The sequence below is a fragment of the Homo sapiens genome, chromosome 6 (genome assembly GCF_000001405.40).
Source record: "Homo sapiens chromosome 6, GRCh38.p14 Primary Assembly".
Taxonomy (NCBI): Eukaryota; Metazoa; Chordata; class Mammalia; order Primates; family Hominidae; genus Homo; species Homo sapiens.
This window is the reverse complement of record NC_000006.12, coordinates 83,185,758-83,213,687: the sequence shown is the minus strand read 5'-3', so window position 1 is coordinate 83,213,687 and position 27,930 is coordinate 83,185,758. Positions and strand designations below refer to the sequence as shown.

Here is a 27,930-nt window from a genome sequence, read left to right as displayed (position 1 = left end):
TTTAAGAACTGATGTGAATTCGGCTGGGCACGGTGGCTCACACCTGTAATCCCAGCACTTCGGGAGGCCAAGGCAGGTGGATCACCTCAGGTCAGGAGTTTGAGACCAGACTGGCCAACATGGCGAAACCCCTTCTCTTCTAAAAAAGTACAGAAATTAGCCGGGTGTGGTGGCAGGAGCCTGTTAACCCTTGGGAGGCTGAGGCAGGAGAATCGCTTGTTTTTTTGTTGTTGTTGTTTTTTGTTTTGTTTTGTTTCGTTTTTGAGATGGAGTTTTGCTCTTGTTGCCCAGGCTAGAGTACAATGGTGTGATCTCGGCTCACTGCAACCTCTGCCTCCCGGGTTCAAGTGATTCTCTTGCCTCAGCCTCCCGAGTAGCTAGGGTTACAGGCATGCACCACCACACCCGGCTAATTTTGTATTTTTAGTAGAGATGGGGTTTCTCCATGTTGGTCAGGCTGGTCTTGAACTCCTGACCTCAGGTGATCCACCTGCCTCGGCCTCCCAAAGTGCTGGGATTACAGGCATGAGCCACTGTGCCAGCCAGAGAATCGCTTGAACCCAGGAGGCAGAGGTTGCAGTGAGCTGAGATCGTGCCACTGCACTCCAACCTGGGTGACAGAGTAAGACTCCATCTCAAAAAAAAAAAAAAACTGGTGTGAATTAAATAGTATATATGAAGTGATTAATTTTGATGAAGAGAATCCATTTAAAGAAAGTAGGGAAAGAGAAGATGTATGAAGACACTGAGGAGATAGTCTGAGTTGGTCAAAAGGGAAATTAAGGTCATTTTCTCTGAGTAGTTGAAATTTTCTCCCATGATGTGATATGATGATGTGATTCTCCAGTGAGTGATGAGAGTCAAATGGAAGCTTGAAGATGGGGGAAGGTTTGGAATTGCTTTTTGGGAACCACAAGAGGAAGTTTTAAGTAAAGAGAGAAAAAAGTATAATGTGCAGACTAGAAAAAAAATATAGCACCACAGAAAGTTTACTGCATCGTTCTAGGATGCACAGCCACAAAAGGAGAAAGCCAGCTCTGAGGGGTCCCCAGACGAGGGACTAGAATTATGCATGAAACACAGGGCGTGATGACCAGAGAATCTGTGACGCTGGCAAAGAGTGCTCATCCTGACTGTGGTGTCTAGATGATTAGCTGAGCAAGATCAGGAGACCCTGGGGTACAGGAAGAGATTTTGTAGGAGGCTGTGGTGAGAATAGGGATTCTTGAAAATTCAAGGTTCAAGTTTAGCAGGACTATTTAGGTATTTATTTCAAGTTAATTGTCAGTCAGGTCATGTCAAGACTTTGAACACTGGCTTCTCTGAGAAATCCAGATGTGATAGTACTTGAATCAGTCTCACCTGGTCACACTTTCCTTAGTTGCTGATGTCATTTTTCTCTCTCACTATATGATTTATAATTGCATTTTCATTTTATATCTTCATTGCTTATATGTGCTTTTATTATAATACACTTAATGTTTTTGCAAACATAGGATACAGTGTTTTTGAAATGGATAAAAACTTCCACTCACATGGGCTCATGATTACCTCTATTTATTAAAATAATTAATATTCTTTTCTTATATCTAGATTGTGAAAGATGCATACCAAGAAAAGACAGCCACAGTTTATCCTGAACCGCAAAACAAAGAAGCATTTGTCCGCTCCCAGATGTATAGTACTGATTATGACCAGATTCTACCTGATTGTTATTCTTGGCCTGAAGAGGTGCAGAAAATACAGACCAAAGTTGACCAGTAGGATAATAGCAAACATTTCTAACTCTATTAATGAGGTCTTTAAACCTTTCATAATTTTTAAAGGTTGGAATCTTTTATAATGATTCATAAGACACTTAGATTAAGATTTTACTTTAACAGTCTAAAAATTGATAGAAGAATATCGATATAAATTGGGATAAACATCACATGAGACAATTTTGCTTCACTTTGCCTTCTGGTTATTTATGGTTTCTGTCTGAATTATTCTGCCTACGTTCTCTTTAAAAGCTGTTGTACGTACTACGGAGAAACTCATCATTTTTATACAGGACACTAATGGGAAGACCAAAATTACTAATAAATTGACATAACCAACATTAAAACTCATAATTATTTTGTTGACCATTTTGTTAAAATCTACTTTTCAAAAAAAAAAAGCTAGAAATGAATCTAGGCGTAGGTGAACTTTTGCTAAGCAGAAATAACACTACTTTGTTGCCTAGAGAAAGATAACTTCTCAAGTATTTTTATTCCAGTCCTAGATCATATATGTTCTTTTGTGCAACGGAATTCTAACAGTTCTAAGAGAAAGATCACTGCTGTTTACAGCGCCTTGTGCAGCCTTAGATTTTAATATTCTTTTGTCATTGTTACATCTCATAGAGTAAAGCTCTTATTACCTTGATCCTGAGTCAGAAATCCCACCTGAAATCACCTTTTTTCCCCCTTGATCAAACATCCCATCCTTCAGCTACCATACTGTTGCTACAGGGATTTTGTGGACTGTGGCCCCTGTCCCGAGGTTGGCACCTTCAGTTCAGCACAGCCTGAGCAGTGAGAAGGTCTGAAAGGAGAGTATATAGTTAAGATCCTTGAGAAAGGGCTGCCTGAGGAACTGACCTCTTAAAGATCTCAGGATCTTTAAGACAACAAGTTAGGTTCCTACTGGAGTTACCTGCCAGAATGGCCTCTTAATTAACTCAGGTAATGAAGAGCTAACTGTGTTATAATCATCTTGCTTTTGCCTGAATTTGGAGAAAGTATTATAATTAAGTTCCCAGTATCAGAAATGTCCTTACATAAGATTAAAATATCTTGATGACTAATACCATTCTATGAGAAAGAGTAGTTATATGCCCAGACTGTATTAATTTACTTTAGAAACTAATGTTTGAAGTAATGGAAAAAATTTTAAATTATAAAGCTAAGGTGCAATAACATTTGCTACTTATTTATAGAATTATTTGAAGAATTTTGTTTTTGAAGTAATGCTTTAAGGAGTATAAGATATTCAAGATAAATTATACTATAAAATGATTTTATTGAAAGTTGAAGGTTACACAAATTGTTTTAGGTATGAGCAGAAGAGGTTAAGGTATTTCTAAAGGTAACATATAGTCAAGAGTTTCCTCAAAATAGTTATTTGGAGAAGAATCAGAATGTCTGTGTATTTCTTGTCTGTTTCTATGTTGTCTTATAGCTCTGACTAAATGTGTTTACCTATGCAAAAGATTTATTAAAGCATAGAAAAGGTGAATGAATAAAAATATAAAATAATTGTCCTTTTTCTTAAAATGTTACATTGTAATGCTTGGTCTTGGGGTCATATGATTATGTGTGACGAATTTCTAAAATATTCTAATAACTGCTAATTTCAGTATAAACATCATTCATTTAAAACATATGTGGCTGGGCACAGTGGCTCACGCCTGTAATCCTGGCACTTTGGGAGGCTGAGACAGGCAGATCACCTGAGGTCAGGAGTTCAAGACTAGCCTGGCCAACCTGGTGAAACCCTATCTCTACTAAAAACTATAAAAATTAGCTGGGCTTGGTGGCTCATGCCTGTAATCCCAGCTACTTGGGAGGCTGAGGCACGAGAATCGCTTGCACTGGACGTTGCAGTGAACCAAGATCATGCCACTGCACTCCAGCCTGGGGGATGGAGTAAGACTCTGTCTCAGAAAAAAAAAAATATATATATGTAATCACATATTCTGGACACTGTGATGTGTGAGCCACTTCCTTGTCCTCAGGGAAAGATAATGAAATAAGCATTAGATAGTTACTTACTAGGTGTCAAGTATCCCACATACATTATTTTAATGTAGTCCCCTCACTTTCCTTATGAAGTTGATATTTTAAGTAACTTGCCAAGTCCACAGAATAACTGAAGAAAGTAAGCTTTACATCCATATTCATCTTTCTTTATAGTTTGTTCTCCTTTCCATAGGCTACAGTCTAGAACAGCACTGTCCCATGTGTAATTTTAAATTTTGTAGTAGCATCATAAAAAAAAGACACAGGTGGAATTCATGGTAATAATATATTTTGTTTAAACCAATATATCCAAAATATTACCACTGCAACATGTAATCATCATAAAATTATTAAGATAGTTTATTTTGTTCATATTTTCTTCGAAATCCAGCACATATTTTACACTTACATTTTAATTCAGTTCAGACTAGCCACAGGTCTCAGTAGCCACATCTGGCGAGTGACACTGTATTGGACAGTGCAGGTTTAGAAGAGACAGTTATATACCAATAGCTGTAAAACTGCATCTCCATGAGAGAAGTGAAGTAGAAGTCTGAGGGAAATGTTTACTCAAAAATATTTTGGTAAATAATGCCTCAATAAAGTAGATAAAAAACTAATTTGTGCCAGCCTCTCTTCATAAGCCAGCCATGCATATTAGGAAGGGAGCACAGCCCCAGAACAAGAAAATTATTTAACAATTTTTTATAGAACGCTCACTTTGCTATTAACCAAAGAAATGTAAAATGCTACTGGAGCACACATGGAACAAATAAATTATATAGTGAGAAGGAGATGTCAGGGAAGAGAATATAATAACATTAATGTTAATAAAATTAGACAAAAAGAAAAATGGAAAAAGATAACTTTATCACAAAAATAGAATATCTAAAGAATTAAATGTACATTCTAAATATAAAAAATAAAATATCTGAAATTAAGAATTCATCAGACAGATGGTTTAACAGCCAACTAGAGGTCATAGAGGAAAAGATTAATGACCTCAAAGGCAGGTCATTAGAAATTACCTACATTTTTTTAACTTTTATTTTAGGTTTGGAGTTACATGCAAAGGTTCATTATATAGGTAAACTTGTGTCATGGGGGGTTTGTTGTATGGATTATTTCATCACCCAGGTATTAAGCCTAGTACCCAATAGTTATTTTTTCTGCTTCTCTCCCTCCTCCCGCCCTCCACTGTCAAGTAGACCCCAGTGTCTGTTGTTCCCTTCTTTGTGTTCATGAGTTCGTATCATTTAGTTCCCACTTATAAGCAAGGACATGTGGTATTTGGTTTTCTGTTCCTGTGCTAGTTTGCTAAGGAAAATAGCCTCCAGCTCCATCCATGTTCCCACAAAAGACATGATCTCATTCTTTTTTTATGGCTGCATAGTATTCTATGGAGTTCATATTACCACCTTCTCTTTATCTGATCTGGCATTAATGGGCATTTAGGTTGATTCCATGTCTTTGGTATTGTGAATAGTGTTGCAGTGAACATTTGTGTATGTATGTCTGTATGGCAGATTGATTTATATTCCTCTGAGTATATACCCAGTAATAGGATTACTGGGTTGAATGGTAGTTCTACTTTTAGCTCTTTGAGGAATCTCCATACTGCTTTCTACAATAGTTGAAGTAATTTGCACTCTCACCAACAGTGTGTAAGTGTTCCCTTTTCTCCACAACCTTGCCAACATCTGTTATTTTTTTGACTTTTTAATAATAGCCAGAATGTCATGAAGTCATTCTCACTGGTGTCACAATGAAATTGTATCTCATTATGGTTTTTGATTTGCATTTTTCTAATGATCAGTAATATTGAGCCTTTTTTCATATGTGTGTTGGCCGCATGTATGTCTTCTTTTGAAAAGGGTCAGATCATGTCCTTTGCTCGCTTTTTGATAGGGTTGTTTTTTTCTTGTAAATTTGTTTAAGTTCCATATAGATGCTGGATATTAGACCTTTGTCAGATGCATAGCTTGCAAATATTTTCTCCCATTCTGTAGGTTGTCTGTTTACTTTTACTCTGCTGATAGCTTCTTTTGCTGTGCAGAAGCTAAATTTAATTAGATCTTGTTTGTCAATTTCTGCTTTTGTTGCGGTTGCTTTTGGTGTCTTTGTCATGAAATCTTTGCCTGTTCCTATGTCATGAAATCTTTGCCTGTTCCTATGTCAAGGATGGTAATGCCTAGGTTGTCTTCCAGGATTTTCATAGTTTTGGATTTTACATTTAAGTCTTCAATCCACCTTGAGTTGATTTTTGTATATGGTATAAGGAAGGGGTCCAGCTTCAACCTTCTACATATGGCTAGCCAGTTATCCCAACACCATTTATTGAATAGGGAGTCTTTTCTCCATTGCTTGCTTTTGTTAGCTTTGTCAAAGACCAGATGGTCATAAGTGTATGGCCTTATTTCTGGGTTCTCTGTTCTGTTCCATTGGACTATGTGTCTGTTTTTGTACCAGTACCATGCTGTTTTGGTTACTGTAGCCCTGTGATATAGTTTGAAGTTGGGTAATGTGATCCCTCCAACTTTATTTTTTGCTTTGTATTACCTTGGCTATTCGGGCTCTGTTTTGGTTCCATGTGAATTTTAAAATAGTACTTTCTAGTTCTGTCAAGAATGTCATTGGTAGTTTGATCAGAATATTATTGAATATGTAAATTGCTTTGGACAATATGGTCATTTTAATGCTATTGATTCTTCTGATCTTTGAGCATGGGATGCTTTTCCGTTTGTTTTTGTCTTCTCTGATTTATTTGAGCAGTATTTTTTAGTTCTCCTTGTAGAGATCTTTCACTTCTCTGATTAGCTGTGTTCCTAGGTATTGTATTCTTTTTGCAGCAATTGTGAATGGGATTGCATTCCTGATTTGGCTCTTGGCTTGGCTGTTGGTGGTGCCTAGGTATGCTAGTGATTTTTGTACATTGATTTTGCATCCTGAAACTTGGCTGAAGTTGCTTATCAGCTGAAGGAGCTTTTGGGCCAAGACTATGTGGTTTTCTAGATATAGAATCATGTCCTCTGCAAACAGGAATAGTTTGACTTCCTCTCTTCATATGTGGATGCCCTTCATTTCTTTCTTTTGCCTGATTGCTTTGGCCAGGACTTCCAATACTATCTTGAATAGGAGTGGTGAGGGACAGCATCCTTGTCTTGTGCTGGTTTTCAAGAAGAACGCTTCCAGCTTTTGCCTATTCAGTATGATGTTGGCTGTGGGTTTGTCATAGAGGGCTCTTATTATTTTGAGGTATGTTCCTTTAATATCTAGTTTACTGAGAGTTTTTAATATGAAGGTATGTTGAGTTATATTGAAAGCCTTTTCTGCACCTGTTGAGATAATCCTATGGTTTTTGTCTAACATAAACAGAAAATTTCCAAATGGAAGCATAAAGAGAGAGCAAGAAAGGAAAAGAGAGAGAGAGATGTTGGCTAAAATGAGGTGGTCTAATATACGTGCTACTGGGTCCTGTAAGGAAAGAAGAGATACTGGAGTACAAATATTTGAAGAGATAATGGAAAGAAATTTTCTCAAATTAATGAAAAGCATCAACTGATAGAGCTAGCAAGCCCCAAGTAGGATCAATACAAAGGACACCATACCTAGGGATATCATAATCAAATTGCATATCAAAAATAAACAGAAAAATCTTAAAAGCAGCCAAATGAAATAGGTATACAATGCCTTCAGAAGTACAATAAGAATGACAGCCAACATCTCGGCAGAAAAATGAGATAATAGACATTTTTAATGTGCCAAAAGAATAAAATTTAGCATTCTTTTTTTTTTTTTTCCAGACGGAGTCTCGCTTTGTCGCCCAGGCTGGAGTGCAGTGGCGCGATCTCAGCTCACTGCAACCTCCACCTCCTGGGTTCAAGCAATTCTCCTGCCTCAGCCTCCCAAGTAGTGGGACTACAGGCACCCACCACCATGCCTGGCTAATTTGGTTTTTTTTTTTGTATTTTTAGTAGAGACAGGTTTTCACCGTGTTAGCCAGGATGGTCTCAATCTCCTGACCTAGTGATCCACCCACCTCGGCCTCCCAAAATGCTGGGATTACAGGCGTGAGCCACCGCGCCCAGTCTAAAACTTAGCATTCTATACCTAGAGAAAATATCCTTCAGAAATTAAGGCAAATAGAGACATTTCAGACTAATGAAATCTGAGCTAATTCATGGCCTGCAGACCTACACTGCTAGAAGTACTAAAGGAAGTTCTTCAGTCTGAGGGAAAATGATCCTAGATGGAAACGTGCATCTGTGGGAAAAAATGAAAAGCACCAGAAAGAGTTGGGCCCGGTGACTCATGCCTGAATCCTAGCACTTTGGGAGGCCAAGGTGGGCTGATCATGAGGTCAGGAGATTGAGACCATCCTGGCTAACACGGTGAAACCCCCGTCTCTACTAAAAATACCAAAAAAGAAAAAAAAAAATTAGCCGGGCATGGTGGCAGGTACCTATCCTCCGAGCTACTTGGGAGGCTGAGGCAGAAGAATTGCTTGAACCTGGGAGGCGGAGGTTGCAGTGAGCCGAGATTGCACCACTGCACTCCAGCCCGGGCAACAGAGCAAAACTCTGTCTCAAAAAAAAAAAAAAGAAAGAAAGAAAGAAAAGAAAAGCACCAGAAAAGGTGGATGTGTGAGAATATAAAATACTGTTTTAAAATTCATATAAGACTATTGACTAATACAAATAACAATGTATGTGGGGTTTATAAAATATGTAGAAGTAAAATGTATGGCTAGAGTAGGACAAGGGGTGGAAGGGGGATTAATAATGGAAGTATACTACTGTATGTTTTATACATTATTCATGAAATGGTACATCCATTATAAAAGGAATACTGTAGCAAGTAATATACCACTTCATGACCAATCTAGGAACCTAACAATTTAAAATGTATTGCAAGAATTCAAGGAATATAGTAATAAATTAAGGAAGAATATTATAACCTCTAAAACACTAAAAATAATACAAAAAACATACAGTTTAAAAGCTAATAGGCCAGACGCTGTGGCTCACACTTGTGATCCCAACACATTGGGAGGCCGAGGTGGGTGGATCACCTGAGGTCAGGAGTTTGAGGCCAGCCCAACATGGTGAAACCCCATCTCTACTAAAAATACAAAATTATCCAGGTGTGGTGGCAGGTGCCTGTAATCCCAACTACTTGGGAGGCTGAGACAGGCGAATTGTTTGAACCCAGGAGGTGGTGGTTGCAGCGAGCCGAAATTGTACTATTGCACTGCAGCCTGGGCAACAAGAGTGAAACTCTGTCTCAAAAAAAAAAAAAAAAAAAAAAAAAAAGCTAATGGAAGAAATAGAATAACTCTGAAATACTTGATTAATGCAAAAGAAAGATAAAGGAGGAACAAAGAACGTAAGAGCTTAACTCCTGGGATAAATATAAAACTAATAGCAAGATGGTAGACATAAACCCAACTTTGCTGGTAATTATGTTAAATGTAAGTGAACTAAACACTCTAATAGCAAAAATTGTCAGATTGGATTTTTTTAAAGCTCCAATTATATGCTGTTTATATATATTTTTATTGTTATTATAGAGATGAAATTTCACTATATTGCCCAAGCTGGTCTCAAGTTCCTGAGGGCAAGTGATCCTCCTGCCTCAGCCTCCCAAACTGCTGGGATTATAGGCATGAGGCACCATTCCCAGCCTACAATTATATGCTGTTTATAAGAGACATACTTTAAATATAATGACACAAAAAGTTTGACAGTAAAAGGATGGCAAAAGATATCTCATACAAAGAGTAAGCCCAAGAAAGCTGCTGTAGCTCTATTAATATAAGAGAAGCACACTTCAAGGCAAGGCATATTAGTAGAGATAGTGATAAATGGGTCAGTCATTAAAAGACACAATTCTTTCTATGTTTTTAATAAAACAGCTTCAAAATATATGGAAAACAATGGCAGAAATAAATGGTAAAATATACACATTCACCATAATAGCTGGATATTTTAACTCACCTCTCTTCATAATTGAAAAATAATGACCCATAAATAATTAAGTCAATTTGTGGCCAGGCACAGTGTCTCACACCTGTAATCCCAGCACTTTGGGAGGTCAGAAGTTCAAGACCAGCCTGGCCAACGTGGTGGAACCCTGTCTCCACTAAACAACAACAACAACAACAACAACAAATTAGTTGGGTATGGTGGCCCAGCTACCCTGGAGGCTGAGCCTGGAGAATCACTTGAACCTGGAAAGCGGAGGTTGTAGTGAGCTGAGATCACACCACTGCACTCCAGCCTGGGTGACAGAGCAAGACTCTGTCTCAGAAAGAAAGAAAAAAAAAATTAAGTCAATTTGTAACAGAAAAGCAAAGGGGGAATTACGCTTTAGATAGTTGCATATACATCAAAGTCATGAGAATATACAGGACAATGGAATGGAACAGGAAACTCACAGGAATATGAGTTACCAAGTGATACAGTTTGGCTGTGTCCCCACCCAAATCTCATCTTGAATTGTAGTTCCCATAATCCCCACATGGCCTGGGAAGGACAGGTGGGAGGTAATTGAATCATGGGAGCAGTTACCTCCATGCCGTTCTCATGACAGTGAGTGAGTTCTCACAAGATCTGATAGTTTTATAAGGGGTTTTTCCCCCACTTCGCTCTGCACTTCTCCTTGCTGCTGCCATGTGAAGAAGAACATATTTGCTTCCCCCTCCTCCATGATCGTAAGTTTCCTGAGACGTCCCCGCCATGCTGAACTGTGAGTCAATTAAACCTCTTTTCCTTTATAAATTACCTAGTCTCGGATATGTCTTTATTAGTAGCGTGAGAACGGACTAATACGGCAAGCTAGCACAAAAATCAATAGATAAAGAACAGAATGCTTGGTAAAAGGACTGGAAAAACTGGCCCACAACATGGAGAAAATTAAAACTAGAACCCTACCTTACACTATGTGAAAAGGTAGACTCCAGATCGATTAGAGACCTAGGTATGAATGGTAAAAATATAAAGTTAATGAAAATCAATGTAGCAAAATATGTTTGGGACCTCATAAACACAACTATGAGGTAAAATGGGATATATTATCTAAGGAAGGGAAGGTTTAGGTGGATCAGATGGCTGCTGCCATAATACAGTGTAAAGGACAAGGAATTCTAGGACTGTGAGTTGCGGTGGTTGCTTCTAGCAGAGATGGATACATAAAGAAAGATAATTTAGGCTTGAGTCTGAAATCCTCAGCTCAAAAATTTTAGACTGAATTCTCAATCTAAAAACCAGAAAAAGCCCCATGTTTTTGCTAACAACATATTTTCTCTCTTTCTAGTTATAATGCTGAAATAATTGAAAACCATGGTCATACTTAATCTTGCTGCTTGCCAAATTATATTAATACCCTGAGTTAAACTGACATCCTCATTAGGCCTCTTATGTCAAACTTAGAGTATTGACCAAGAAACAGTAGGACCTTGATTTGGAATGGGGAAGGGGATTTGGAGGACTCATAATATCCTAAACTAGGGAGAACAATAGTCCAGGTTTCAGAAGTGAAAGTCCTGTGTCCCAGGAAACCCCTCAGTCCCAGGAAAACTGGGATAGTTGACATGTTCTCCTTTGCTAATCAAAGCAGGATCTCTTCCCGTCTAAAGAAGTTGTTACTGCCTTGCTAGAAGATCCTGTAATGACCTCACCTGAGGTAATAATTACCTTGTAAAGAGAAACCAATTGTAAAGGGAGGCCTACGCTCCTCCTCCATTATTCACATTATTTCCGTACACCCCAAATCAGATTCCAGCATGAGAAGGGCTGTGGTGGCTAGTAATTTAAAAGGCAAATCCAGAAGGAGGAGACTTACGCCAAAAAAATTCTAGACTCTGCTCACATATATTGGCAAAAGCCCAGAGAAAAATGTGTGGGATTCTCAGAACGTTACACTCACAAGGAGAACTGTAATTTTGGATAAGGCAGAAATGATGATAGGGTACACTTGCCACAGATTCTGGATTCTGTGCGCTGCCTTGAGCAGCTGGGGGTGATTCTACTTGTTGGTTCAGTTAGTTGAGTGAAACATGAACTTAATAAGGGTCCACATTAAATGAAATTGAGAATGCAAACATTCCTTAAATAATATAAAGCCATTCAAATATTTACAAAGATAGGAATGTTGGAGTGGAATTGTTGTGTGCAATATGACTGTCCTAATCTATTGATCTCCTAAGTCTCCTTGGAGGACCTATCAGTGACCCTCCTTTCACTAAGGCCTTGAGAGAAATAACACTGGTGAGGGGAGTACCAACATCCATGAAAAGCATTTTAATGATACTTCTCTTTAAGCTAGGAAGGCTTGGGAAAATGTTATGGTTAAAAGGCTTTCCTGATTTCAATGGAGAAATCAGACTCTTGGGTTTGGTACAGGCTTAATAGCATTTAGTAGCAATTAACAACTGGAGACAAGGTGAAAACAGTGATTGTAATAGGAGGAGGTCCAGTGTAATCAAGAGTTCAGCCCACAGAAACCTTGGTTGTGGATAACACGGGGCCTCCTGGCCTGAAATGCTGTTCAAAAAATTAATGAGGCAGCATACATACTAACCAAGAAAAATTGATACCATTGTATAAAATTGATACAGCCATGCCAGTACATACCAGCTATATCCCAGCCTGGCCTAGGACCAAATACATTAGCAACAACATACGCCCCACTTGATATATATAACAATAGCAGAAAAGCCTGACTGGAGCCACCAAGATACAGTGTCACCAAATTGCCACAAACAGATATGAATGAAAGACCCCTAAAGATGCAGAACTCTGTAATTATATCATAAATGTTTCCAAAATCTTTTTTGAGGCTCCCATTTGCTAAGATAACAATGCACTGCAGAAAGGAAAAACTATTAGGCCTTTTGGAGGTCATCTGGGAACAGCTCTGAACAAATATAAATTTCTCGGGTCTCTGAAACCACTGTGGTCTATAGAACAAAGTATATGCTATAGGAATAAACCCATCCCCCACTTATTTTTCCAGTAAAGAGTTATAATTTATTTCTTCATCCTCTGTGGCAATATACCCACATTGGATCCCTGATCCATAAAAAGAGGGTTATTCTCTCAGGAAGTATGAAGAGATTTGCAGAGATGAGTCCCACCATCAAAAGCTTTGAAAGCAGCAGGAGTGTGATTCTTATCACATCTTGCTTTAGCATGATCTTTGGCATATGTAGGAGGAGACAGATGGGTCTCTAAGAATGACTTCACAGGCTGGGCTCAGTGGCTCACACCCGTAATCCCAGCACTTTGGGAGGCTGAGATGGGCAGATCACTTGAGGCCAGGATTCGAGACCAGCCTGGCCAACATGGCGAAAAACCATCTCTACTAAAAATACAAAAATTAGCCAGGCGTGGTGGCATACACCTGTAATCCCATCTACTTGGGAGGCTGAGGCATGAGAATCACTTGAATCCGGGAGGCAGAGTTTGCTTTGAGCTGAAATTGGGCCACTGCACTCCACCCTGAGTGACAGAGCGAGAGAGCAAGACTCCGTCTCAAAAAAATAGAATGGCTGCACATATTCCGAAACTTAAGCAGATGGTGATTCCAACTGCAGCTGCTGTCATATAAGTTCTTTTTTCTTGGAGCAAATCAGAAAGTAGCTGGCTACTGATTTGGTCAATGCTTTTTTGTTTTTCCTTTATTCCAGTAAGTAAAGACCACTTGAAGCATTTTCTTTATCTCAGTAAGCAGCAATGTAGATTGTCTTTTTCCAACATTACATTAACTTTCTATGTCAGAATATCAGTCTCGATATCAGACCTTTGATCAGCTTACCACTATACAGGGCAGCATGCTGTATGCCTCCAGGTGATATTCTGATTGGACTTGGAGAATGGAGTCATGTTTCCTGGATGCCTAGTAAGATGTGTCATCCCAGAGGGTGAACGATAAATCCCATGAAAGCACAGAGCCTGCAGCCAAGTTTTGTAGAAGTCCAGTGTCTGGTACATGCTGGGATTTCCCCTTCATTGTGAGGAACAAATTGTGTACTTTGTTCCTTCTATAACTAAGGAGAACTCCCAGGGTTTGGTGGGTGATATGGTTTGGCTGTGCCCCTATCCAGATCTCACCTTGAATAGTAATAATCCCCATGTGTCAAGGACAGGACCAGGTGGAGATAATTGAATCATGGGGGTGGTTTACCCCATACTTCTCGTGGTAGTGAATAAGTGTCACGAGATCTGGTGGCTTCATAAAGGGGAGTTCCCCTACACAAGATCTCTTGCCTGCCCCTATGTAACATATCCCTATGCTCTTCCTTCGTCTTCTGCTGTGATTGTGAGGCCTCCCTAGCCATGTGGAACTGTGAGTCCATTAAACCTCTTTCCTTTATAAACTACCCAGTCTCGGGTATGTCTTTATTAGCAGCATAAGAATGAGCTAATACAGTGGGCTTACTTAAATTCTGTGTACCCTGCTCAAATTCATTCGGGGGTTGACCCAAATGCATCTAGTTTTGACTGGGATCAGAAAGAGAGGTCTCTCTAGCTGGTCCAGGCTATGGTGAAATTAGTTCCACCATGTGGACCTTATGAGGGAAAGCCAATGGGCTCAGAGTTTCTGTGGCAAATCAGGATTATGTATAAAACCAGGAAGTGTGAGCAACACTGTGCCCTCTTCAGACAATAACTATTCTTTTGACTTACTACTGGGCTACTTGAGATAAAAGCAAGTGAAAAAAACCTGTTCAAAAGGGTTCCATGAAGGCTGCAGACAGACACCATCAGAACCTTCTCAGGTTCTGAGAGGGGATGGATGGCATGTAAGGAGTTATATGTGAACGCTCAAGTTCACAGGCAATGTATGTTTGATTTAATAAGGAATGTTTTAGAGGTCCCTGTGTTGTGGTCTGCCAACTCATCTGGCCTACTCAATTCACTATGCAGGTGTCCTCAGCTCTTAGCCTAACACATAATAGACCAGTAAGGAATGAAAAGCAAAGAACATACTTGACGATATGCTTCATTTACTTCAGCAAACTTTAAAAAGACACTGTAACTTTTATAAATGAGCACATTTTCCAAATAACCATTTAAGAATATAATAAACAGAATATCCAGATTCTTAAGTTACAAGCAATAGAGACTGATTCTGATTTCCGACAACAAAAGGGAAGATGCTGGGTCATTCAAAGGAAATGCCAAACAGCTGAGCATTCAGTAGGTCAGAAATGAGGGTGGCACTAGAGGTTTAAGCAGCAAGAGCTCACAGCCATCTCTCCAGGAGGCTGCCAGAGGACAACTTGATTCCTATCACTTTCTCTTCCCAAATCACACAGGGAAGGGGCAGTTTCCCAAAATAAGCTGTGTGTGTAGGGGGAGGGGGTTGGGGAATGACGGACTTTTATTATGTGCTCATATCAGGCTGTGCAAACAACCAGCAGACTCCTATACATACAAAGTTGAGTTTTGAATTATACATGTACTTTTTTTTTCTATAAAACCTACACGTCCCCATAATACTATCTGCATTAGTTTTCCTGATAGGAAAAAAAGTATTGCAGAATGCTCAAATTAGACTTATTTATAAAAAAGTAGGTTCTGAAAAATCTCAGAAATAGCTCCAGAAGCAGTAGAGTTCATAACCTAGAATTTATTGCCTTTTCTTTACACCCATCTTTCTGTAGCTACTTTTGCTCATGTAATCAGGAAAAACACCTCTATAAGGTAGGTTGATGGCACATATTGATTCATTTGGATGGAGTTACATCTGTTGAAGGCCTAAAACTTGTAAATGCGAATTATACTTATTGATAGCTTTGTGGAGACTGTGGGGGAAAAAGATTCCTATACTTTGTTGTTTTTAGTGCTGGCAAACATTAAGAAGTGATTCCTTGGCAATGTAAGTCCTATTTCTTCCCTTTGCATATAGGCAAAGTGTCAGGCTCCAGCCTGAGTTCCAGCACAACCAAGGCTAGGATGGAAACATGAATGGCAAGCTGGAGGACCTGGCGGGGCAGGCCTACAGCGAGCCATGGGTTGAAGATCTGAGTTGTGCCCTGAGAGGACACTCATTGTGACCTAAGAAGAAAGAGGCAGTACAAAGTGGACCCAGTTCTAACACCTCCTTGGGATAGGGCCTCCTGCTCCATCATGTCCTCTCTGTAGCCCAAGGACACGTCTGCATCCACGGCACAGAGGGTAAAACCAGATGGTAGTTTCATCAGAAGTTCTGTAGGCTCCCCAGCACAAGCAGCACTGTCTGACATCTAACAGGATGTGTTCCTAAATCCCAGCACCAAGCTTTGGCATCTTGAGAGGACCCAGTAGGAGAATGGAATGCCTCCCGGGAAAGGGCAGCAGTAGCTGACCACAGAAACACGGAAAGCTGCAGAGGCTGCTCAAGACATCTCTTAGCACATGAGACTCGCAGAAATACTTGGGGAGGGATGGAGACCTGGTAATGAAAAGGCTTGGCAAGAGCTACTTAAATAGCGGTTTTTAATCATTAAAATAAACTCTCATTTTGAAAAGCCTGGTGAAGCCTGTGGAGCTTGGAATTTTCAGAGGAGATGGCAGTAACATCATCGGACTGTAGAATTAGATTTTTTTTTTCCCAATAAGGTAATGATGCAGATATCCACACTGGTCCCCTCAACAGTCTCTTGCCCTTTATAGTAATGCATACTGGCACACAGGCAAAGGTTGGATTGAAACAGGCGAATACTTTGTAGACAAGGAACCATGTGTTTATCTTTTCTGGATAAGAATTAAACTAATACTGGTATCAGGATTGCTAGTATCATGAACTGATATAAACAGCCAGAACACATAGCATTGTGTGTCATCTTTTAACTCGTGGGACTTCATGTCTATGAGTCCTTTGCCACTGCTATTAGGATCTAGTTTTACTAAAACACTCGAAATAGGAGTTTAAAGTAAGAAATGAAGTAAACGGGCTGGGCGCGGTGGCTCACACCTGTAATCCCAGCACTTTGGAAGGCCGAGGCAGGCAGATCACGAGGTTAAGAGATTGAGACCATCCTAGCCAACATGATGAAACCCTGTCTCTACTAAAAATATAACAATTAGCTGGGCGTGGTGGCGCACGCCTGTAGTCCCAGCTACTTGGGAGGCTGAGGCAGGAGAATCGCTTGAACCTGGGAAGCTGAGGATGCAGTGAGCCGAGATCGCACCGTCTCAAAAAAGGAAGTAAACATGTCCTTCCTGTTCTCATTTTAAACTTGATTTAGATTTCCAATAATGAAAGACAAGTGGGTGTGTCACATGTGTGCTAGCAATGTGAAACAAATGCTATTCATATTTCTCAATTCATAATTGCAGTTTGATTTTTGATGTTAGTTATGGGCTTTGGATTCCTCTTCAATCAAATCAGCTTCACAAGTTAAATGGATTGTTTTTATTAATTTACAATGAAATAGTTTTTGAATGACTTCACACAAAAACCTAGAGATAACATCACAATTGCAATGTTATAAAGTTTAAAGGCCTATTCATTTCACTGTCAGTTGAAATTCGTTACCAGGTGAAAATTCTGGAGCTGGGTTTTGCACTGAGGATGCTACACAGCCACTAGCCTTTTTAATTTGGTCTTATTAACAGAAATACTGACTTAGTGAAATTACAGGCATAGGCCTCTTAATCGCTTTTTATGAGTCTGAACTTTTGCTTTCAATACCAAATAGTATCTGAAAAACATGCTCACTTTTGTGCTTCTTGAGAAATTCTAAGAATTGGCCCAGATTCATGTGATAGTCATTCCTTAATCCATAGTCACCATGAGCCTCAAGGAGTAACTCTTCAAAAGAATGGAAAAGGCGCAGGTCCTCACCATTTCCTTCTGTCTCCACGCTTTCAGCATGCTTACAGGAAATGTGCTTCCAATTGGGGTACCTAATTGTGTGCCAGAACTCCTCACAGTGCTCTTTGAAACCCTCCACACAGATTATACCAGGCTTTCCTGTCATGCAAAATCCAGTCACATCTAACCTTTTCCCAACATCCAAAATCTTTTTCCTTAGGTCCTGCTGATATATATGGTGACTGTAGATCCACATTCGGAGGAATGTGTTCTTGACTGGCTTTGCTTGTGTAGATGGTTCATATACAAGCTTTCTGTTCAGGAAATAAGATGCACTGTTGTCCTGTAGCCACTGGATTGCTGCACATACACAGAGCTCACCTGGATCAAAAGTCCCTATGTAAGAAGTGAGACCTTTGTTGAGAAGTAGCTGCTGATGTCTGTCAAGTTCAGATGACCGTCCAAACAGCTGCAATGCTACATAGGGGTAGCTGTGAGGCATGGTCACTTGCAAATCAATTTTCACCTTAAAATGAAAATCAAATAGATTTAAATACCATAACATCACATAAGCTAGTTTATCAATAGCAACTGCATGATTTTGAGAAATGTTATTGCTACTATTAAATGTACCAGGTACTTTACATACATGATTGCTTCCTTTTATGCATTATTTCAATATTTATTGAACAACTACGTGTGCCAGGTGCCCTTGTGCTGGGATAAAAAAGTGAATAAACCAGACACTATTTTTGCCCTTCATGAAGTCCAGGGCCTAGTGAAGGAGACACACATTAAACAAATAATTACATATAGCAAGTATTTAATTTCAATTGTGAAAAGCATTACCATGGAAAAGTGGAGGGTTCCATTGAAGTGTGTAACCAGCGGGACAGAATCCAGTCTGGAGAACCAGAAAGTCTCCTCTGAGGGAATAACAACTGAAGGATGAGTAGGAAATAGCTACAACAGTGGTTCTCAAATGCCCAGTCCACGTATTACCTATGCTATGCTAATGTTGCTGGAGATAAATGGATCAGAAGATGGAGGTAAATTCATTTTTAGTCTTTAGATTTTTCCATCCATATTTGCTTTCTGTGTTATGGTGCCATCAAAAAATCCACTCATTCACTCCTTAAAAGACAGTTATGTTACAGGAGATATTTAGATTTATGAAAATCATGATACATGTGAAAGGTAGTCCAACTGGATGGGTGAACAAAATAATAATGGCATAAGACTGCAAGATAGCGTCAATAAAAACTCCAGGTATATTTGTTAAAAAGGTGTATATGTTTACATAAAATTAAAGATATTTACTGAAGACAATTTATAGAGCATTCCGTATCTTTCAAACAAGGAAATATGCACCTGGAATATTTCTATCTTTCCTTGACAGAAAGCTCATGTTCTAGATGTTTCAATTAAAAACTGGGCACCTGGCAAACACTTAAATCAGGGTACCTACCTTGGGCTCTTCAATCTGGAGTGTAATTACAAATTCGATTTTTGGTGGCAGCGCCTCCCTTGTGCCTTCCAAATACCTCTTTATATTCGTCAGGGCATTTACATCTTCAAGTTTTACTTCTCCTTGGTTAGGAAACATAGAAAACAGCATTTCCATCTCCAGTAGCTGAAGCTGAAGGCTTTCTTTCACCGAAGCAGACATGTTGCCTCGCAATCAGCCTGCCTGGAAACCTCACAAGGCTCAGGGACGCTGGGTTTGTCAATGCCAGCCGGTATCCAGCGAAATTTCCCGAAGGTCCCTTTACGTGGAAGCAATTCTGCAGGAACGCTTTGCACCGAGAGCTAGGGGCACAAACCAGACACTTGCACTCTTCTTTATTTCCTGACTCCAAAATCTAGTATGCACAACATCCTCTAAAACACTCCGTAAAAACCCATATTCTGCGTACCCGGGCTCCGGGTTCCCGCCTCCCGCACCCCGCACTAGATAGGGGAATCTGCACTTTCAACAGGTGTTTGGAACTGTCCCGCTGCAGGTGGCAGGCAGACACCTGCAGACGCTCTGCAAGCCTGAATTCTGGGAAAGGCTGGGGCCCGGCTTCCAATCCCACCCGGGGCTCGGGCTTGGGCGGAGCCAGACGCTGCGGCGAGAGAGGCCGCAGTGCCAGCAGGATGGGCTCCGAGTTCCCCAGCGCCAGTCGCCACCCCTCGGTCCTGGACTCGCGGACCGCCCCCCCCCAACACCGCGGTGGCCTTTTCGCTTGGGCCGCATTCCAGGGCTCCGGACGTTTACGATTCACTGGCCTCTGCCCCGAGGGACCCAGGATAAGGGTAGGGGGTGTCTCAGAGGTCATTAAATAAAAGATGTTTACAGTGAGCTGGGGGAAGGGGGTACCCGGGGAGACGGCAGCCGGAGAAGGCTTCCCAGATTCAAAGGTTTGGGAGATGACCTCGACGTCGGAGAGGGGGATGCGGGCCGCCGGCGGCGCTCACTGTGGGCGAGGTCGCCCTGTCCGAGGCCCAGCGACGGGGCTGATTCCCCACCCCCGCCCCTAGCCAAGACCACTAGGAACCCCGGCTTCCCAGGAACGCAGGGCCTGCCGCCCCCAGAGGCCCGGATTTGGAGGCGGAGGCTGTGCCTCCGCGGCCGCAGTGCTCTGAGGGCCCGCGACCCTCGGCCCCAACCCCCGGGCCACCGCGGGGGCCTCACCCTTTCTGGTCACTCAATGGTAACAGCCCCAGACCCCGCTCGGAACCGCAGCCGCAGTTCCTCAGGCGCCAGCTGCGCGCGACCTGCGGCGAGGCGGGGGCGGGGCTGGCGGATAGTCCTCTGCCGTGATTGGCCAGGGGGCGTGGCGACGAGCCGGAAGCCACGCAGGGCCACGTCTGCGGTTCTGAGGACTGGGTTTGGGTGCAGACGTTGTTGCTTGGGCGCTTCTCCGCTGCGTGTAGGTGAAGGGGGCTTCCTGACCGAGGTAAGCCGGGCCCCGAGGCTCGGAGTTGAGAAGGGAGACTACCGGTCGGCAAGGGCTCGGTGGGAGCGGGACAGGTCAGATTCTCGGCCCGACGGAGGGGCTAGTGGTCTGGCGGGCGACTGACCGAGCGGCGGAGCGCGCGGGACACACCTACAGGCCCCTGCGCCCCGCGGGCGGGCTGGTCGGGACGGGCCGCGGGTCTCCTGCCGGGGCTCTGGTACGTGGACCTAGGCGGGGACCTCAGGGTGGAGTGCCGGGAATCACCCTTGTGCGGTGATTCGAGGGTAGGCGGGAGAGAGGCACCAAGGAGATTTGAAGATTGAATGGAGAGTAGGGGGATACTCTTAACTTTTTGCGTGGACGCTGGATTTGGCAAATATGCTTTCAATAAAGGCATTCGCAGAGGCATTGAAAGTAGTTGTAGGGCCTAAAACGCATGAAAGGATGAACTCATATTATCTGGACCTTTTTTTTTTTAATGGCTTTTTGGAGTTAACAGGACTGGTTTACACTCTTATGAATAATCATGACACATAACTGACTGCTCAGTTTTTACAAATATGTATTCATCCTTAGGAAAGAGATCTGATCACTGTCTTGAACTAAATTAGTTTACTGAATGCCAGCTTTTTCCAACTGGACAAAAGCAAGTATTTTTCACCATTTCTTGCAAGTTCTGTTCATTGAAGCAATGAAGGACAATAAAGAAAACAAAATTATGAGGCTAGCAGCTGGCGGACTGCTCCTCATCTCTGGGCTAATTGGGAATTAATTGACCCAGGAAATGTAGTATATGGACTACTGAAGGAAAACTACTGACTGAGGTTGGAAACCCCAAGTTCCACTTAATGGGAGTATCCCAGAGAAAACAGTATTAGTGGGCTAAGGGCCGATTTTTTGTTGTTGTTTGTTTTGAGACGGAGTCTCACCCTGTCGCCCAGCCTGGAGTGCAGTGGCGCGATCTCGGCTCACTGCGACCTCCACCCGCGGGTTCAAGCGATTCTCCTGCGTCAGCCTCCTGAGTAGCTGGGACTACAGGCGCGCACCACCACGCCAGGCTACTTTTTGTATTTTTAGTAGAGACAAGGGTCTCACCATGTTGGTCAGGCTGGTCTTGAATTCCTGACCTCGTGATCCGCCCGCCTTGGCCTCCCAAAATGCCGGGATTACAGGCCTGAGCCACCTCACCTGGCCTGTTTTTTTTTTTTTTTTTTTTTTTTGAGACCGAGTCTCCCTTTGTCACCCAGGCTGGAGTGCAGTGGCGCGATCTCGGCTCACTGCAACCTCTGCCTCCCGAGTAGCTGGGATTACAGGCGCCAGCTAACACGCCCGACTAATTTTTTTGTATTTTTAATAGAGAGGCGGTTTCGCCATGTTGGCCAGGCTGGTTTCAAACTCCTGACCTCAGGTGATCCGCCTGCCTTGGCCTCTCAAAGTGCTAAGATTACTGGCGTGAGCCACCGCTCCCGGCCGATGTTTTATTTTTAAAAGTAAAGGAAAAAGGTGGCATTCTTTCAGAAGAAGATATTGCTAGTTTTAGAGCAACATCTTAGAAGGGTGTCCTGATTGTTTTTAGCAAATGGAAAAAGATCTGGGTAGTCTTGGAGAAGAAACTGTTGCCTTTTGCTTTTCCTTTAAGAATATGTCTCTGTAGTTTGGGAGAAATAGCAAAAGAACCACAAAGATTTCTCAGATATTTGGGGATATGTAGTTTCAGTCCACTCAAGAATCTGACTTTAGGCCTCAATCCGTCACCAGCTATCTATGTTAATTTAGGTTAGTTTCCCTTTTTGTAAAATGAAATGATCTTTGAGCTCATTGGAGTCTCTGAATAGGTGTAAAATCTTCATTTTAGTTGAGAGTGGACCAATTTAAGTGTGCCCGGCGTCCAGGATAGTCCTGGAGCTAAAATGGGAGGAGAGTGGGGACAATCTGCTATCTGCCCTGAGTCTGCCCAGGAGTGGACATACCAAGTTGGACAACATCTTGTAGGTAATTCTAACCCACAGGACTTACTCTCCTGCCCATTGCTCTGTCAAACATAGGGTTCTTTGAGGAGGTTCAGGATGAGACAGACCTATTCGTTTGGGGTGGCAGTTTTTGAAGCAAATGGTTCTTAAGAAATTACTTGTTATGCCCGAAACAATATTTCTTAATTTTGTAGACATGGATTTAGGTGCTATTACAAAATACTCAGCATTACACGCCAAGCCCAATGGACTGATCCTTCAATACGGGACTGCTGGATTTCGAACGAAGGCAGAACATCTTGATCATGTCATGTTTCGCATGGGATTATTAGCTGTCCTGAGGTCAAAACAGACAAAATCCACTATAGGAGTCATGGTAACAGCGTCCCACAATCCTGAGGTAATGGGTTTAGTGCCCTGATAAAGCAGACCATTATTTACAAGACCAAGCCTTAGTGTCTGAGCAAATTGACCTAAAGTACAAATTCTAATTCTAGGAATGTGCCTTCTCATTTATATGTGCTTTGGATGTGAAACAACTTTTTTTTTTTAAGAGCATGATCATTAAGCTCATGATTCCTAAGGGTGTGGAAAGAATGAAAAGATACTGTCATTTTTTGGAGTGTCCATATTAGAGAAATAACAATGTCCTTCCAAATTTATTGATTTAAGACATTTTCAGTAATTGAAAATTGTTTCCTTTGTTAACTTAGCAGTGATTAAAGATATTGGGGTTGGGTGGGGAAGGGTAAAGATTTGAAAAGAAACATTTTGAACATTTTCAGACAGGTTTTTATAGCTCGGCAATAATTTCTTGTTCTGAATGAACAAACAGGTGAGCTTTGGCAGAATATTGATGACGCCTGATAGTTCTAGTCTTTGTGACAGTTAGATTTTAATCAAAGTATTCTTTTTGACACAATTATTTTTTCAGCTTTATTGAGGTATAAGTGATAAATAAAAATTGTATAATTCAAGTCATACAACACCATGTTTTGATATATGTATACATTGTGAAATGATTACCACTATCAGGCTAATTAACATATCCATTAGCTCACATAGTTACCTTGTTTTGTGGTGGGAATACTTAAGACGTACGCTCAACACATTTTCAATATATATTATTATGAACTATAGTCACCACGCTGTACGTTAGTCTTCCAGAACTTATTCATCTTATAACTGCAAGTTTATGCCCATTGGCCAGCATCTCCCCATTTCCCTTACCCTCTAGCCGCCACCATACTACTCTGTGTTTCTGTGAGTTTCACTTTTTTACATAACACATGTATGTTATGAGCCTGCAGTATTTGTCTTCATGTGTCTGGCTTATTTAACTTCGCATAATGTCTTCCAGATTCAACCATGATGCAAATGGCAGTATTTCTTTTTTAAGGCTGAATAATATTCTATTGTGTATATATACCACATTTTCTTCATCCATTTATCTGTTTATGAGCACTTTTGTTGTTTCTATATCTTAGCCAACCTCTTGACACAATGTAGTTATTCTTTATTAGCTATAGGCCATTAATACAGGGTTTGAATAATATGCTTCTATTTGATTGCTGGGGCTGTGGGATTTTTGCCTTTGTAGCTAAATCAGCAGCAAGTTAAAGTGGTGTAGGTCTGTGAAGGATTGTAACCTCCTCTTCCCCCAAACAAGGGCATTGCTTGTCCAAATATGTGATCATTATAAATGTGTATATGTCTAAATATGTAAGTCACCATAATTGATTGACTGATTGACTTCTAGGAAGACCCTCACATTTATTGCTAGTTCCAGAGGCACTTCTCAAAATGATTCTCTTTTCTTTCAGGTGACATTCACTGTGAACTACACTTTCTTTCCACGAATTTGAGCAGAACAGTGTTGGGAGGCAGTTTTCAGTGTCTGTCCTACCCGCTGGTTGACAAGCTGGCTAGTGTGTTCTTGGAGTTCCGAGTCATAGTGAGAAGGATCTCTGTGTGCCCTTATTCTGCTCCACTTGTGCCCTAGTCAGTTTATGGATAGTGGATGCACAGATCACAGCCTTTTACAAAGGCTAGTGTGGCATAGTGTTTTTAGGCGAGTAAGATAGACTTGCTGTTTTAATATCAGTACTGACATTTGTTAGCTGTATGATCATAAGCAAATTACCTAACCTCTCTGAAGCTCAGTTTTCTCGAAGATTGAAATTAAAATAGGATTATTAGTTTAATTGATTATGTGTGTCATGAGGATTTAATGAGGTAATATATATACATAAAATACCTAATCCAGGGTCCAGTATTAATATTTGGTGTTTATTGTTGAAGCTGCTCAGCCATCACTGTCTTTGGTTGAAGGGAAACAGCTTTTGAGTTCTGTTCTCAACTCAGCCTCATGAGTATGCACAGATTGCTTATTGTTTGTTTTTCTTTTAAGGAAGACAATGGTGTAAAATTGGTTGATCCTTTGGGTGAAATGTTGGCACCATCCTGGGAGGAACATGCCACCTGTTTAGCAAATGCTGAGGAACAAGATATGCAGAGAGTGCTTATTGACATCAGCGAGAAAGAAGCTGTGAATCTGCAACAAGATGCCTTTGTAGTTATTGGTAGAGATACCAGGTGATGATAAGAGTTACTGGTAAAAAAAAAAACCTTTGGGAACGTGATATAAACGATTGTATCAGTTTTAATCCAAGACAAATGGAAAGAAGTAAAGTGGAACTACCCTGAGTTGCATGTCTACCTGCCTGGCCTTTCTAGTAGGATGTAGTAGCTAAGTCACTACTGCAGCTTGGGGTTTGGAGTCTGACTCTGGTTTAAAACCCTACTCCAAAACCCAAGCTGCAGAATAATGTATGTAAAATACTTCCTGACACAAGAGAAGCACTCAATAAATGTCTCCCACCCCCTCTGTAGGTTTATTTTTTTTTCCCTACAGAGTCAACACATGATTTGAACTCATTATTTTTAAAGATTTACTTTGTAATCTGTGTTATTATTGTTTCAAATATTTATATCATTTTCCCATGCTGGAGCTCACTGTAAACTACAATATTATTTTCCACATAGTTCTGTTTTGCAGCTTTTGCCTTTCTTAACAAAAATGTCTTTTTGTAAAATATTAGATGAAAAGTATACTTTGCAACAGTAGCATTTCCTTTTGCATAAGATCTGGTTTTAACCTGAGATTATTTCAAAAGGAAATTTCTACTCAATCTCCAATACCTGGACTGGTTTTTTTACCCTCTGTTGTATTACCAGAGGGTTTTCCAGATACCGACGATGGTAGCAGAGTAACTTATGTTCTGAAGTAAATTATCCCACCACAGTAAAGTCATCCCACATGTATTTGGTTCTTAACTATTAACTAATGTAAGTGATGAAACGTTTTTTCCTACAAGGCAGTTTTTTTATTATTTTTTATTTTTTTGATACGGAGTCTCGCTCTGTCACCAGGCTGGAGTGCAGTGGCACAGTCTTGGCTCATTGCACCCTCTGACTCCCAGGGTCAAGTGATTCTCCTGCCTCAGCCTCCCGAGTAGCTGGGACTACAGCTGTGTGCCACCACGCCCAGCTAATTTTTGTATTTTTAGTAGAGACGTGGTTTCACCGTGTTGGCCAGGATGGTCTCAATCTTGTGATCCACCCACCTCGGCCTCCCAAAGTGCTGGGATTACAGGTGTGAGCCACTGTGCCTGGCCAAGGCAGTTTTGTAATCTGTTTTATTTTCAGATAGATAATTTGTTCTGACTTTACAAAATGGAAAACAGGTTCTATATCCTTGGCAGCTTAATACAAGTACTGTCTTATACACACTGTGTATATTCAGTGTTTATTGTTACTGTTCTTAGAGTTCAGACATGTTGCTGTAGTCGAACTTGAAAAGGTATTTGGGTATGCTGTGGTTAGAGTGTCCTTTATATCTATTTTATAAATTCATTTAAAAGCCAGAATTTTTCCTAGAACTAGATTGTGAAAGGCTACTGGAAAATGCTTATAATTTACCAGTTATCTTGAGAGTTCATAGCTTTCAGTTCAGATACCAGGAACTTACTATTTTGAAATTTGTAGCATGTAATTTTTGCATTTGCTTGCAGAACCAGCAACCCTGCCAGTTTCAGGATGGGATATATTATTTTCTTCCTTTTCTTTCCTAGGCCCAGCAGTGAGAAACTTTCACAATCTGTAATAGATGGTGTGACTGTTCTAGGAGGTCAATTCCATGGTATGTAGTTATCCTGAGTTGGAAATTAAACTAATATTTAAAAAACTTTAATTTACAAAAGTAATGTATATTTATTTAGAAAAGTTTGAAAATACAGATGAACAAAAAATGTTTAAAAAATGAACTCCTAGATACAAAATACTAACTTTAAAAATCATCTTCCAGGTCGTTTCTGGGCAGGCATGTTTTGTCTTACCTATGGTAGTACTATAGGAGATTATAGCTGGGAAATTCTGAACTAATACAACTTCCTTTACTTTGGTAAGGCTGAATTTCCTCAAATAAAAACCTTTTTAAGTACTTGAAGATGATCATTCTGGGGAGCTTTTATCAATATTATTAGGTCTTCCCTAATAGCTGGTTCCCTGTGAAATCAGCTGTTACCTGTCAAGTAGTGATGGGAAATATTTTTGACAGGTAGTTCTTTATGTTATATCAAATGACAGAGAATTAAGTGAAACAAAACAGACTAGGATCCCCTTCTCACACTGTGTCTGTTGTGAAGGCACTGCCTCCACCATGTTTTGAGGTGAATATTTTCCTGGTGTGAGATCTTTCTCATTAAAACAAACGTCCACTCTTGACCTTTGAAACCTCCTCTCGAGTTCCGACTGTGTTCCCTTCCTGCACGGTCAGTCTGGCCTCTGCTGAGGGCTAGCTCTGCTTACCTTCTCTGTTTCCTCCTCTTCTGTCATTCTTCAGCTTTCTGCAGGTGAGTCTGTATCCTTACCTCTCCTTGAAATAAATGTCTCCCCAGCCCACCCCTGACATCCATCTGCATTGTTATTGCCAAATCTGGTGGGTATTGTAAAGTAGGGATTATTAACCAGGGACCTCTGTGGCATGTCTGGGAAAGCTGCAGAGGACCTGTGGACCTCATGATACGATGTACAGAGTGTTGCCGGCACAAGCACTTTCCCAGGGAGTGCATGCGTACCTCTCCTCAGATACTCAGAGGGGGCTGTGATCTAAAAATAATTTTAATAATTTATGCTTTAAAGATCTTACAGTTGAAGTCTTTGTAGCTTTCCATAATGTTAAAGCTCTTTCTTTGAGCTTCTACTTGCTTGGCCACTATTCCATATTGGTCTTCTCTGTTGGCTCCTCTTCTGTCTCTTTCAGGGAGGGCATTCCTCGGGACCCTCTTTCATTCTGCATGATTTCTGAATGATTATCTCTACTGCCATAGCTTGAGCTACCTTTTTTCATTTATTTATTTATTTATTTACTTATTTATTTATTTATTGTTT

At 40.8% G+C, this 27,930-nt stretch overlaps 3 protein-coding genes across 28 annotated transcripts in view, besides 3 other annotated features; 2 read left to right on the top strand and 1 right to left on the bottom strand.

The window, feature by feature from the left end:
- Positions 1-3,286, top strand: part of ME1 (malic enzyme 1) — a 220,650-nt gene extending 217,364 nt beyond the window's left edge. The window contains exon 14 of the mRNA NM_002395.6: positions 1,594-3,286. Within this exon, the coding sequence (NP_002386.1) occupies positions 1,594-1,764 (171 nt within the window). The 3' untranslated portion in view covers positions 1,765-3,286. The remainder of the gene's footprint in view (positions 1-1,593) is intronic.
- Positions 3,287-14,752: 11,466 nt separating this feature from the next.
- On the bottom strand, positions 14,753-20,331 carry RWDD2A (RWD domain containing 2A). Of its 10 annotated transcripts, none has more exons than NM_001322336.2 (4): positions 20,245-20,331; positions 19,036-19,376; positions 18,417-18,508; positions 14,753-18,093 (listed from the first exon to the last, which is right to left on the bottom strand). In NM_001322336.2, the coding sequence occupies exons 3-4, from the start codon at positions 18,417-18,419 to the stop codon at positions 17,416-17,418; spliced, it is 681 nt and encodes a 226-aa protein (NP_001309265.1). In that variant the 5' UTR covers positions 18,420-18,508; positions 19,036-19,376; positions 20,245-20,331; the 3' UTR covers positions 14,753-17,415. The 10 variants fall into 10 exon arrangements, with proteins under 10 accessions (NP_001309265.1, NP_001309266.1, NP_001309268.1 ...); NM_001322337.2 differs by having other exon boundaries at positions 18,417-18,493; NM_001322339.2 differs by having other exon boundaries at positions 19,036-19,157.
- The window catches only part of PGM3 (phosphoglucomutase 3), a 45,196-nt gene continuing 37,053 nt past the window's right edge, over positions 19,788-27,930 (top strand). For 6 of the 17 annotated variants that reach the window (XR_007059270.1, XR_942480.3, XR_001743468.3 and 3 more), the window contains exons 1-3: positions 20,423-20,509; positions 24,890-25,074; positions 26,613-26,680. Coding sequence is in view for 10 of the 17 variants with exons in the window: in NM_001199918.2 (NP_001186847.1) it covers positions 24,929-25,074; positions 26,613-26,680 (214 nt within the window). In the remaining 7 variants the exon portion in view is untranslated. Of the gene's footprint in view, positions 19,866-20,422; positions 20,510-22,364; positions 22,502-22,673; positions 22,880-24,889; positions 25,075-26,612; positions 26,681-27,930 lie in introns of those variants that run through there. The other 11 variants (NR_159812.2, XR_007059273.1, NM_001367286.1 and 8 more) reach the window with 4 other exon arrangements.
- Positions 19,961-20,460: an enhancer, noted in NCBI's record as "H3K27ac hESC enhancer chr6:83902947-83903446 (GRCh37/hg19 assembly coordinates)". NCBI's record gives its function as "activates a minimal SCP1, AML or CMV promoter by ChIP-STARR-seq in naive and primed H9 embryonic stem cells {active_cell/tissue: H9 hESC(naive and primed)}" and the evidence as "EXISTENCE:reporter gene assay evidence [ECO:0000049][PMID:30033119]".
- Positions 20,033-20,402: a silencer, noted in NCBI's record as "silent region_17357". NCBI's record gives its function as "represses an Ori minimal core promoter by ATAC-STARR-seq in GM12878 lymphoblastoid cells {active_cell/tissue: GM12878}" and the evidence as "EXISTENCE:reporter gene assay evidence [ECO:0000049][PMID:35858748]".
- Positions 20,703-20,772: a silencer, noted in NCBI's record as "silent region_17356". NCBI's record gives its function as "represses an Ori minimal core promoter by ATAC-STARR-seq in GM12878 lymphoblastoid cells {active_cell/tissue: GM12878}" and the evidence as "EXISTENCE:reporter gene assay evidence [ECO:0000049][PMID:35858748]".

Bases quoted from the DNA above. Each gene is read 5' to 3' on its own strand.
- RWDD2A (XM_047418134.1), bottom strand. From the start codon at position 19,236: ATGTCTGCTTCGGTGAAAGAAAGCCTTCAGCTTCAGCTACTGGAGATG. The intron at 18,094-19,035 runs GTAGGTACCCTG...TTTCATTTTAAG, and splicing joins TCCAGATTGAAGAGCCCAAG to GTGAAAATTGATTTGCAAGT.